This window comes from Homo sapiens, chromosome X (assembly GCF_000001405.40).
Source record: "Homo sapiens chromosome X, GRCh38.p14 Primary Assembly".
Taxonomy (NCBI): domain Eukaryota; kingdom Metazoa; phylum Chordata; class Mammalia; order Primates; family Hominidae; genus Homo; species Homo sapiens.
Window position 1 is genome coordinate 135,841,878 of NC_000023.11, and position 13,588 is coordinate 135,855,465.

A 13,588-nucleotide genomic window follows, 5' to 3' on the forward strand; every position below is an offset into this window, starting at 1 on the left:
CCAGATGTGACACCATTCTTTGCAGTGATGACATCATGCTGACTGAAAAGGAGGTAGCAACTAATCCAGACATGGTAGCAACACACTTGCAAGACATTATGTGAGAAATAATTCTCACACAAAATCAGGGGCCTTCTAACTGAGTGAAGCGTTTAACAATCTGGTAGTCTGGCATGTCAAGATGGTGGTTATAAGGTGAACAGCAAGTTCTTACATCTTGCCTTTCTTACTACTAAATAAGGAACATGAAACGAGTTGCATAATAGATGCTTGTTTTAGCATATACCTAAATGTTGTGCAGTACCGTGGACCCATTGACAAGTGACTGAAACCCCGCTAGCATGGACCGGGGCCCAGAAAAAGAGAAGCTTCCCTAATCCTGCACCTGTGATCTCATGTGGAGTTCCCTGAGACCAGTTGACTAGAAAATAAAAAACTTCATGCCTGATTTTCATTTGTTACTTCAGAATATGCAGGCACCACATCTATTAGGTTTGTTACTAATGCAAAAGAAATTGTCCCCGATTCAGCAGCTTAAAATAACACAAATATATAAGCAGTTCTGTAGATCAGAAATCCATGCAGCCTGGATTGGTTTCTCTGCTTAGGATCTCACAAAATCAAAGTTAGGGTATCAACCAGGCTGCTGACTAACTAAGGACTCAGAGAGAACCTGTTTTCAAGCACATTTGGGTTACGGGCAGGTCTAACTTCTTAAAGTTGTGGAACTGAGGTAGCCGTATACTTGCGGTCTTGGCTGAGGCCACTCTAAGCTACCTGAGACCCCTCCATACCTACTTGGGTGCACCCCTCTATCTTCTAAGCAGTAATGGTGCATCATGATTATGGTGGCTGAGATAAAGCTTATTTACGGGTTTGGCAACATGAACTTTCATTTACCAGGTCCATCTCACTACAGCCACTGCTCACTATTCAATCTGACAGCAGCAGAGACCAACACTGAGTCCCCAATATGGCACCATGTCCCAGAGTGGTCAGTCAGCTTCCAGGTAGCACTGTGATTACTTGGGTCTGCTTCCACGATTGAAGGGGTATCACTTTGATCTTCCTCAAATAGACACTTATTCTGCATATGGATTTTCATTCCCACCCATGGAACTTCAAGGAAATCGGTACTGTGGTATGAGGAAAGGCTGTATCCACCGTCGTGGTATTCCACACTGCACCAGTTTTAAACATCAAACTCACTTTACAGGCAATGAAGTATGGGAATGGGCTCATGCTAATGTACTTCACTAGTCTTGTGATGTTCTTCAACATCCTGAAATGGCTGGCTCAATAGAACATTGGAGGACCTTTTAAAGCCTGAGTTGTCATTGCAGCTTTGTGGCAGTGCCTTGTGGGGCTTGGCTGACAATCTAGAAAGTGGCAAAGCTGAATCCTAGCCTCAAGTATATGGAACTATTTCTCCCATAGCCACATTTATGACTTCAAGAATGAAGGAGGCAATATGTGGGCCTTCTCTCACTATTACTCCTGGGTATCTAGTAACAAAATGTTGCTTCTTATGCTCAAGAAGCAAACTGTGCACCAAGAAGCCAACTTTTGGCTCTGCTGGACTAGAGGACTTAGTTACACATTGAGGAATTTTTTCAACAGGGGAAACCAAAGTGATTCCACCAAAATGAAAGTTGTTCCGTATGAACTTTAAAGTAGTTTTTTCCAATTCTGTGAAGAAAGTCATTGGTAGCTTGATGGGGATGGCATTGAATCTATAAATTACCCTGGGCAATATGGCCATTTTCACGATATTGATTCTTCCTACCCATGAGCATGGAATGTTGTTCCATTTGTTTGTGTCCTCTTTTATTTCATTGAGCACTGGTTTGTAGTTCTCCTTGAAGAGGTCCTTCACGTCCCTTGTAAGTTGGATTCCTAGGTATTTTATTATCTTTGAAGCAATTGTGCATGGGAGTTCACTCATGATTTGGCTCTCTGTTTGTCTGTTACTGGTGTATAAGAATGCTTGTGATTTTTGCACACTGATTTTGGAACCAAAAAAGAGCCCGCATTGCCAAGTCAATCCTAAGCCAAAAGAACAAAGCTGGAGGCATCACGCTACCTGACTTCAAACTATACTACAAGTCTACAGTAACCAAAACAGCATGGTACTGTTATCAAAACAGAGATACAGACCAATGGAACAGAACAGAGCCCTCAGAAATAATGCTGCATATCTACAACTATCTGATCTTTGACAAACCTGACAAAAACAAGAAATGGGGAAAGGATTCCCTATTTAATAAATGGTGCTGGGAAAACTGGCTAGCCATATGGAGAAAGCTGAAATGGGATCCCTTCCTTACACTTTATACAAAAATTAATTCAAGATGGATTCAAGACTTACATGTTAGACCTAAAACCATAAAAACCCTAGAAGAAAACCTAGGCAATACCATTCAGGACATAGGCATGGGCAAGGACTTCATGTCTAAAACACCAAAAGCAATGGCAACAAAAGTCAAAATTGACAAATGGGATCTAATTAAACTAAAGAGTTTCTGCACGGCAAAAGAAACTACCATCAGAGTGAACAGGCAACCTACAGAATGGGAGGAAATTTTTGCAGTCTACTCATCTGACAAAGGGCTAATATCCAGAATCTACAACGAACTCAAACAAATTTACAAGAAAAAAAACAAACAACCCCATCAACAAGCGGGCGAAGGATATGAACAGATACTTCTCAAAAGAAGACATTTATGCAGCCAACAGACACATGAAAACATGCTCATCATCACTGGCCATCAGATAAATGCAAATCAAAACCACAATGAGATACCATCTCACACCAGTTAGAATGGCAATCATTAAAAAGTCAGGAAACAACAGGTGCTGGAGAGGATGTGGACAAATAGGAACACTTTTACACTGTTGGTGGGACTGTAAACTAGTTCAACCATTGTGGAAGTCAGTGTGGCGATTCCTCAGGGATCTAGAACTAGAAATACCATTTGACCCAGCCATCCCATTACTGAGTATATACCCAAAGGATTATAAAACATGCTGCTATAAAGACACATGCACACGTATGTTTATTGTGGCACTATTCACAATAGCAAAGACTTGGAACCAACCCAAATGTCCAACAATGATAGACTGGATTAAGAAAACGTGGCACATATACACCATGGAATACTATGCAGCCATGAAAAATGATGAGTTCATGTCCTTTGTAGGGACATGGATGAAGCTGGAAACCATCATTCTCAGCAAACTATCGCAAGGACAAAAAACCAAACACCGCATGTTCTCCCTCATAGGTGGGAACTGAACAATGAGAACACATGGACACAGGAAGGGGAACATCACACACTGGGTCCTGTTGTGGGGTGTGGGGAGGGGGGAGGGATAGCATTAGGAGATATACCTAATGTTAAATGATGAGTTAATGGGTGCAGCACACAAAAATGGCACATGTATACATATGTAACAAACCTGCACGTTGTGCACATGTACCCTAAACCTTAAAGTATAATAAAAAAAAAGTACCTGGCACAATTAATATTTGTTGAATAATTGAATGAATTAATTTTTTAAAAAAAAGCATAGAATGGGCTGGGTGCAGTGGCTCATGCCTGTAATCCTAGAACCTTGGGAGGCTGAGATGGGCAGATCACTTGAGGCCAGGTTTCGAGACCAGCCTGGACAACATGGCAAAACCCCATCTCCACTAAAAATACAAAAATTGCAGCGTGATGGCACCTGTGGTGCACCTGTAATCCCAGCTACTTCGAAGGCTGAAGCACAAGGATCGCTTGAACTGGGGTGAGGTCGAGGTGGCAGTGACTTGTGATCGTGTCACCGCACTCTAGCCTGGGCAACAGAGCAAGATTCTGTCTTTAAAAAAAATAAAAAGCATAGAATGTTCAAGTCCTATCTGGAAACAACAGCCTTACAGGGACTGCTACTGCAGCTCCAAATTATTGTATCAGACCAATCCTATCTAGGAACTACCTTTATTATATATATTGGATATACCCCCCCACACACGCATACATATATATATATGGGGGTGTATATATAATATGTGTAATGTGTATTATATGTATAATGGGAGATTAGAAAGTGTGTGTGTGCATGTATATATACCCCCTACCAACACACACACACACACACACACACACACACACACACACACACATTAAAATCTCCCATTAGTTCTGCCTTTTCGTTGAAGGCTGATGATACAGATTTCAACATTGAGATCGGGTTCCCACCACACCAGGGGCTAAGGAAGAGTATGTGTGATATGTCTAGAGAGCTTCTTAGTCCTCCCGTGTTTTTCGATTAGAGTTAATGGAAAATCACAGCAACCCCATCCAGGCAGGATATCTAATGGTTCAGACTCTTCTGTAATGAAGGTTTGAGTCATCCTGCCAGGCCAAGCATCATGACCAACTGACATGCTATCTCAGGGCAAAGGGAATGCGAAACGGGTAGCGAAAGAAGGTAGTTATAAACGCCAGCTACATCAGTGTGAGCTGCTGCAGAAACCACGACTGTAATAGTATTTACCTAATGGGTTAATAATATCTACCAGCACAGGTGGGAATACAAAATAACCAAAACACAAGTTATCCTTTCAAATAAAACGCTTTGGGAAAAAGAACATCTTTTACTAACAGAAATTTCTTAGCCTCTGGAAGGCCAGTTGATTCGGTAACATATGCCAGGAGACTTCAGCAATATCCTGCTCCATTGTAGAAAACAGCAATCTGATCCTTTTCTCTCCTCAATCATTAATGAGATTATGCATTTGGGGTGTGATAATCCTCCAGGGACAAGTATTCTCAAATCATACGTTTCAGTTTCTTCTTAAGGTGCTTAACAAAGTCTCGTCTCATACATCTGAAGAGAAAGAGACATGTCATTAACCAAAAGATAGCCAAAGAACCTATGCTGTAGGAAGCGCTGTGACAGATAGAAAGATGAAGTAACAGTCAGCATGGAAATAGAAATGTATCTGCATGGTAAGAGGCAGTCTAGCCGGCATAGCAAATGCTGGCAAGGGTGTGGAGAAAAGGGAACCCTCATACACTGTTGGTGGGAACATAAATTACTACAACAACTATGAAGAACAGTTTGGAGGTTCCTCAAACAACTAAAAATGGAGCTATCATATGATCCAGCAATCCCACTGCTGGGTATATACCCAAGAGAAAGGAAGTCAGTGTACCGAAGAGATATCTGCACTCCCATGTTTCCTGCACCACCATTCACAGTAGCCAAGATTTGGAAGCAACCTAAGTGTCCACTAACACGTGAATGGGTAAAGAAAATATGGTACATATACACCACAGAGTACTGTTTAGCCATAAAAAAAAGAATGAGATTCAGTCATTTGCAACAACACGGATAGAACCGAAGGTCCTTATGTTAAGTGAAATAAGCCAGGCACAGAAAGACAAACTTCACATGTTCTCACTTATTTTTGGGAGTAAAAGTGTAAAACAACTGAACTAATGGAGATAGAGAGTAGAATGACAGTTACCAGAGGCTACAAAGGTTAGTGGGGGTGGAGGGTGTGGGAAGTGGGGATGATTAATACGTAGAAGTATGGAATAAATAAGATGTCGTATTTCATAGCCCAACAGGGTGACTATAGTCGGTAATAATTTAATTGCACATTTAAAAATAATGAAGAGTATAATTGTATTCTCCCCGTAACGCAAAGGATAAAAGCTTGAGGTGATAGAAACCCCACTTACCTTGATGTGATTATTACACATTGTTGTCTGTATCACAATATCTCATATAGCCCAGAAATATATGCATCTGCTATGTGCCTACACAAATTTTTTAAAAAGAGGTAGTCTAGCAAATACAAAGAGTGTCAATTGAGGGACAATGCGCACCTCAGACTATGGTGAAAATGGAAGTCTCCATAGTCTTCGAAGAATGAGTTAGACTCAGATAACATTAGCCTAAGTAACTGTGGAGACAGCCGTAACTGTGAGTGAGGACCAGGGTTTGAGAAACGCAAGGCAGGGGCTGTTCCCCAACGCTCACCCCCAGTGCTCTATTGAGCCCAAGTGCTTAAAGAAATTGGACAGTTCCTATTTCTACCCACCTTGCTGCTTCCTTGATGATGGATTCAAAAAATCGTTTCCTGACTGCAGTAGGTCCTTGCACTCCTTCAAGCATTTCGAAGATTTTTTCATATTCTGAAGATGTTGAAAAAAAAAAACTTCAGTATTATCAAATATAAAGAAGAATAGAAGTGAATCTACACCTCAGCAATCATGCTTCAGAGGCTGAAATGTTTTAAATGCTTAAATCAAGATACCTGCACATACAAAACCTAAATAATAAAAAAGACACCTGCACATACATACGAATGTAACTCCTTTAACCATAACCAAGTAAGAAAAGAAAAAGAAAAAATGTACATGCTTTAGTCAAAGAAAAGAGGAACCACCATAAATTATGTGCAATCTCAACTCTGGCAAAGAATGAAACTCAACAGGCAACATGAATATCTTCTGAATCATAGAAAGAGAGACTTCCTATAGTTTTATAAAACAGACATTCTTATACTACTTACTTTGTCCAACGCATCGGAGTTCCTTCACTAATTGACGTTTTATATCAGCATTAATTTCTTGTTGGCTTTTGGGAGAGAAGGCTGTTTCTCTGCATTCTAGGTCATCTCCAGAGAAACTGCTGGTAACGTTTCCTCCCACAGGTGCATTGCTACCAGGTTTCTGCATCATCCTATCTTTGCTGAAACCAGTGAAGTCATCAATCTGAGAATCCAATTGGCTGGGTGGAATAGCATGTCCTGTCATAAGCTCTGGTGAAACAGATTTTGAGTAAAAGCCATCAGTTGGTGTTTGACCACTTTCTTTCCCCTCCACATAGACCTCATGAATGACAGCTCTGGAAATCAAACTGAGAAGTTGAGCTGTGAGATATGTGTGTTTCATCACCCCTCTGGGTACATCTATGTGCTCCTCAGTTTCTAGGGAATTATTTATTTAATAAATGGGAGGATACACCAGGGAGAAATCCCAGGCCTGACAAACGGAGGCCAGGACACATAATACAATAAAACCACCTCTTATTTTCTGGCCCTATGAATAGACATGGAAACCAAGTAAGGCAGTACAACTCTAAAGCAACATTCACAGATCCCTGGTACTCATGGGACAGTTTCAGCTTGTTATGCTTTACAAGTTGAAAGCAGCAAGTCTCACTTGATATCATGATTTCTCAAATTCACTTACAAACTGCCATGTTTTACTAAGCTGGAAGCCAGACAACTTGGACACACCTCAACCAGCCTCCTCTCTACATCAAACATATTCTGAGAAAATAGAGGTGGCCATTACTGCTGAAAGTTCTATATGTACTCCATCAACAAAAAATCCCTTTTAGTGTATGATTTTCCTCATCCTTCCTTTCTGTCTCACAAAAGTGACTTTCTTTTCACTCCAGGTCTGACACCTCTCATTTATTCATCGTCTGTGGCAGGCAGTGTGCCGGTAGCTGGGGATCAGCAGTAAACAGCCCAGAGAGCAACGTTCCCTGCCCTTGTGGAGCTCACATCCTCATGGGGCGGTCAGACAGTACGTGCACAATGAGCAAATGAAACATACAGTGTTGGGCTAGTGGTAAGGAAGCAGTCCACAGGCCTGTGGGCAACAGCAGCAGAGGGAGCCCCAGGAGCTGCTGCTGGTTGGGCAGAGCCTTCTGTGGAGGTACCCTTGGGCAGGGCTTGAAGGAAAAAGCAGAGCTGCCTGCGCAGAGGCAGAGGGGGAGTTCCAGGTTGCGGTGAGGCCAAGGATATGGGCTGGAGTGGGGATGGACCGGGCACTACGGGGTGAAGGACAGTAGCAGAGAGAGTCAGGAGATGATGGGGCCCGTGTGAGGAGAGGGTGACGGAGGCCAGGCCACGCAGAACCTCGCAGACCAAAGCTGCTTCGCAGTCGGTTCTGAGTGCTTAGGAGTGTTGAGGATGGGTGTTCAGGAGCGACATGGCATCACGTGATTTACATGCCAACATCATGACCCGGCTGCAGGGTTGGAGGGTATGTGTTTGATGCGGGAAATAATGGGAAACATGGAGGTATCTCAGGAGCTCAGTGATTGATCGTGGCAGAGTGGAATAGAAGGAGAGGGAGAGATGCTGGGGTTCAGGAATTTTTACAGTATTTAGAGAAGAGAAGAAAAAGAAATGTAGAAAAAAACAATGATGGGGTCGGGGGCGGTGGCTCGTGCGTGTAATCCCAGCACTTTGGGAGGCTGAGGTGGGTGGATCACCTGAGGGGGGGAGTTCCAGACCAGCCTGGCCGACATGGCGAAACCCCATCTCTACTAAACTTACAAAAATTAGCTGGGTGTGGTGGCTGGTGCTTGTAATCCCGCTACTCGGGAGGCTGCGGCAGAAGAATCACTTGAACCCAGGAGACGGAGATTTCAGTGAGCCGAGATCGCGCCACTGCACTCCAGCCTGGCTGAGAAGAGCGAAACTCCATCTCAAGAAAAAAATGATAGGGATTCACCAATACGGACAAGAAATTAAAAAAAAAAAAAAAGATTGTCGGAAATGGAAATCCTAGAAGGTTTTCATGAAGAAGCGAGTAAACAACTGTCAAATGCTGCTGAGAAGTTAATGGCAATGTCAGCCGAAACTGTTAACCTTGACAAGGACAGTTTCTCTGGAGGGGATGAGGCAGGAGCATGAGGAGGACGTGAGGACAGGCTTACTTACTCTTTTCTTTGGACATGGCAGAGCCTGCAATAAGGCTGTCTCCTGCTCCTTGTTTCCTTGCCAACAGGGCCATCCTCTGCCTTTTCTGATACGAAGGACTGTCACATTCCCTGGGACGTTTAAACACAGTTTCAGGATCTACAGCCACCTTCTCTGTTTTATCGGTCATTGTTTCCTGAAAAACATCAATGAATATATTCTATTCATGACAAAAATCTAACAATCACAAAATGGCAAGCAATCTGCATATGTGTATACAACCAAGACTTTGAATCATTAATTTCACTTTTAATCATGAGCCAAGATTTACCAAGTCTCAACAAACACTCTGTTCTCAGGAAAAGAAACCTAATTTTAATGTACACAAAGTAAAACAGAAGAAAGATGGTATAACCAAATCAATCAGAATGCTTGTGGAATAAGCAGCTGTCATCAACCAAAAATAGATAAAAATATTATTACCTATTTGAAGATGTATAAGCCAATCTGTATTAACCCTTATTAGAAAAAATGGATGTATAAACCAATCTGTATTAACCCTTATTATACATTATATTTTAAATTATATATTATATATCATATATATTTAATATATAAGTATTTATGCTTATATATTCAAATAGATGCATAAACCAACGTGTATTAACCCTTATTAGGAACCCTTATTAGAAGATTGATACAAAACTGATAACAACATCTGACAAGGAATTTAGAAGAATGAAAAACTACAAGATCAAGCCAAAAATACAAGCCAAGATCACCCCGAACTTAGACACAAAAATTCCAAACTAAGGGTGAGCAAATAAAATGTACTAGTACTTAAAAAGGACATACATCAGCCATGGTGGAGTATATTGCAGAAAGGCAACACTGATTTAACATTTGAAAATCGACAAATGTAGTGCACCACATTAACAACAACAACAACAACAACAACAAAAACAGGGAAACACCGCATGATCATTTTCATACATGGATCAATGTTTAAAGTCCATTCGTGATAAAAACTATCACCAACTTAGGAAAAAGGGCAACTTTCCTATTCTGGTTAGCATATGTACAAAAAATTTTTAAATGCCATACTTCATAGTGACGTATCAGTATTTTCTCCCTGAGTTTGAAAACAAGACAAAGATGTCCACTATCCATTCAACAATTTACTGGAGGTTCCAAAAAGTGCCATATCATCAGGAAAATACAATAGGTTTAAAATTTGGAAAGAAATAAAACTGTCATTATTCACAGATGACATTGTTCTGTACATAGAAAAATGCAGAAGAATAAAATCATTACAGTTAATAAGCAAATTTAGTCAACTTACTAGATACAATGAAAACCAATGGCATTTCTGTATAATGAATAGCAATTCTGTATAATGAATGGCATTATACAGAATGGCAATTCTGTATAACGAATAATTAGAATATGAGATTTCAAATGTCATTAAAAACAGTTCCAAAAACATCAAATATTTAGGAATAAATCTAATCAAGATGTGCTAGAGTACTTCACAAAAATTATAAAACATCACTCAGAGAAATTCAAGACTGCAGTAAATGGAGAAAAATATTCTTTCCATGCATTGGAAGACATTACTTTTTTTTTTTTTGAGTCGGAGCCTCGCTCTGTCACCCAGGCTGCAGTGGAGTGGCACAGTCTCTGCTCACTGCAACCTCCACTTCCCAGGTTCAAGCAATTCTCCTGCCTCAGCCTCCTGAGTAGCTGCGATTACGGGCGCCTGCCACGACGCTGGATAAAGAAAATGTGGTACATATACACCACGGAATACTATGCAGCCATAAAAAAGAATGAGTTCATGTCCTTTGAAGGGACATGTGTCAGCAAGCTAACACAGGAACAGAAAACCAAACACCACGTGTCCTCACTCATAAGTGGGAGTTGAACAATGAGAACACATGGACGCGGGGAGAAGAACATCACACAGTGGGGCCTGTCAGGGGTTGGGGGGCTAGGGGAGGGATAGCGTTAGAGAAATACCTAAGGTAGATGACGGGTCAATGGGTGCAGCAAACAACCATGGCATGTGTCTTCCTATGTAACAAACCTGCACGTTCTGCCCATGTATCCCAGAACTTAAAGTATAATTTTAAGAAAAGGAATATTATCGTAATGGCATTGGGTGAGTCAAAGATGTTTCTTAAAATAATAAAAAGCACTATCCATAAATAATACACTAATTAATAAAATTAAGAGAATCTGTTCATCTACAACACATTATTGAGATCGTGTAAAAGCAAAAAAGATTTATAGAAGATACTAAAATTGTATATGTATTTTTGTATATGTACATATACGCCTGTGTGCCTGTGCGTATAACTCAAATACAGAATATATGGAAACTACAAATCCATTTTTAAAATACAAACATCTCAGTAAAAGCTGGGGGAAAATACCTGAAAAGGAACTTCATAAAAGGCATAGTTAAATGACCAATAAACACATAAAATGGTGCTAAAAAAAAAAAAAAAGAAAACAATAAATAGCTGGGTGTGGTGGCACTGCAATCCAGTCTGGGTGACAGAGGGAGACCTCATCTCAAAAGACAAACAAAAATCAATAAATAAAAACAATTTCTTAAAAAGGTGCTCGATCTCATTAATCAGCAGAGAAATGCGAGTGTAGACATAAGGAGAGATCACTGCACACCCATCAGAGTGGCTGGAATGAAAGACTAACTGTACTGCGAGTGTTCGAATGTGGCACAGCTGGAACCTTCGAATATTTCTGGACTCCCATTCCCACACAGACACCTGAGGCTGTGGCTGAAAGGTCAGATAGAATCCCAGGAAAGAGCTCCTTCAGAATTGCGATCAACCAACCAACCGAGGAAAAGCACCCCAACCTGGGTCGAGACAGAGTTCCCAAGGTCACGTGGCCTCCTTCATGGCTGACACAGAGCTCCCTGAGTCCCACCATAGGCTTAGAGAATCCAAGGAACATTACCCCATTCCCCGGCGGCACCGGGAGAGAGCACCTACAGATAATAATTTTAAAAACCCAGCACCAAGAGAAAGCATCCATCCAGTAAGCGTCCACAACGGGGATAAGCAGAACCAAAGAAAAGCCAACACATTGTAACTGAGAGCGAGCAACATCCGAGGACAAATGCGCCTCACGGCCGACATCAGTACCCAAGGAAGAGTCCACCAGAGGTTGAGATAAAGCCCCCGACAGTGACCCCACAGGGCTACGATCATGTGTCCGGGGCACAGCCACCCCCACCACGTTCCATGAGCACAGATAGTGACCCCAGGGCAGAGTCCCCCCTCAGGACAGCGACTGAGCGGGAAAGAAACACCGCCGCACCCGAGGCCGACACAGGCAACCAAGGCATGGCCCCCACCCCCCGGGCTCAGGTCATTTCAGCAGGAAAAGTCGCCTTTTCCATCACCGACAGGGAGCCCCCAACAAGAGCCCCCAAGAAAAGCCCCCTGGCCCCACAACATAGCCGAGACGGGGTGCCCAAGGAAAACGCTCCCCCGCGGCTGACACAGGCGCCCATGGCGGTGTCCCCAGAGCTAAGCCACTTCCCCAAGGGAGCCCTCCCACACACCGGACAGAGAACACCACAGAAAAGACTCTTTCTGAGGAAAAAGGACACTTTCCAGGGCGAAATTAAAGCATCCAGGGAAAAACTGCCCACTCACAGTCCTGAAGTCCTGACCTTGCTGGAGGAGAGACGGCGGCACCTCACAAAATGGCAGTGAAGTTGTGGCGCCTCCCCACTGGTGGCACTTTCTAGAAACCTGCCCTCTGGGAGTTGTGGGAAATGTGCCCCCTAGGGCACCTGGGAGTGATGTGCATGGGGAGGCGTCTCACCAGAAGCACCGATCCCGTTTGGCCCAAGGGGGATGGGAGGAAGGGAAGTAGCCAGCCACAGCGTGCCTGCCCCAGCCGAACACTGGGAACCTGTTGGGGGCGCCAGAGTGCTGAGGAGAAGCCTCGTGCCCCAGAGAACCAGGAAGCGCAGCCCTCCCCTTCGCTGACTCTGGCGCCCTCTACAGGCGACCTTCAGTAACAACTGCACAGCAACGTATGCGGAGGAATGCAGAACCTTCTCACCCAGCGGGATGAAATCGCCTGGGTAACATAGTGAGACCCCGGCTCTACAAAGCAACCAACTAATCAAAAAAGAAAGAAAGAAAGAAAGAAAGAAACACACAAATTAGCTGGGCCTAGTGGCCTCGCACCTGTGGTCCCAACTACTCGGGAAGTTGAGGTGGGAGGATGGCTTGAACCCGGGAGGTGGAGGTAGCAGTGAGCCACTGCACTCCAGCCCAGGCGGTAGAGGAGACCCCACCTCAGAAAAAAAAAAAAAAAAAAAAGAAAGAAAGAAGGAAAAGAAAAGAAAAAGAAAAAGAACAACAACAAACTGCAATTTTCATTTGAGGGGGTTGTGTTTTAAAGTCAACCCCGACCCGCCACAGTGGCTCACGCCTGTAATCTCAACACTTTGGGAGGCCGAAGGGGCTGGACCACCTGAGGTCAGGAGTTCGAGACCAGTCTGTCTGACCAACATGGTGAATCCCGTCTCTACTAAAAATACAGAAAATTACCGGGCGTGGTGGCATGCACCTATAATCCCACCAGCTACTTGGGAGGCTGAGGCTGGAGAATCGCTTGAACCGGGCAGGCAGAATTTGCAGTGAGCTGAGATCATGCCACTGCACTCCAGCCTGGGTAACAGAGTGAGACTCTGTCTAAAAATAAAAATCAATCAATCAATAAATAAAGTCAACCTCTATCTGTTAAAGGTAACCATTATTGTTAATTGATAAGAAAAATGAGGGCCCCAGTGCGGTCGCTCACGTCTGTAATCCCAGCAATTTG

The 13,588-nt window shown here is 42.9% G+C and overlaps 1 protein-coding gene across 3 annotated transcripts; it reads right to left on the bottom strand.

Annotated features, from left to right (window-relative positions):
* Positions 1 to 4,619: 4,619 nt before the first annotated feature.
* On the bottom strand, positions 4,620 to 12,715 carry CT45A8 (cancer/testis antigen family 45 member A8). 3 transcript variants are annotated; one of them, XM_011531241.3, is made up of 5 exons: positions 12,578 to 12,715; positions 8,738 to 8,912; positions 6,569 to 6,817; positions 6,095 to 6,188; positions 4,620 to 4,872 (listed from the first exon to the last, which is right to left on the bottom strand). In XM_011531241.3, exons 2-5 carry the CDS (start codon positions 8,904 to 8,906, stop codon positions 4,815 to 4,817), a joined length of 570 nt encoding a protein of 189 aa, XP_011529543.1. In that variant the 5' UTR covers positions 8,907 to 8,912; positions 12,578 to 12,715; the 3' UTR covers positions 4,620 to 4,814. The 3 variants fall into 3 exon arrangements, with proteins under 3 accessions (XP_011529543.1, NP_001278464.1, XP_006724862.1); NM_001291535.1 differs by having other exon boundaries at positions 12,423 to 12,661; XM_006724799.2 differs by lacking the exon at positions 12,578 to 12,715 and adding an exon at positions 12,406 to 12,571.
* Positions 12,716 to 13,588: the final 873 nt, after the last annotated feature.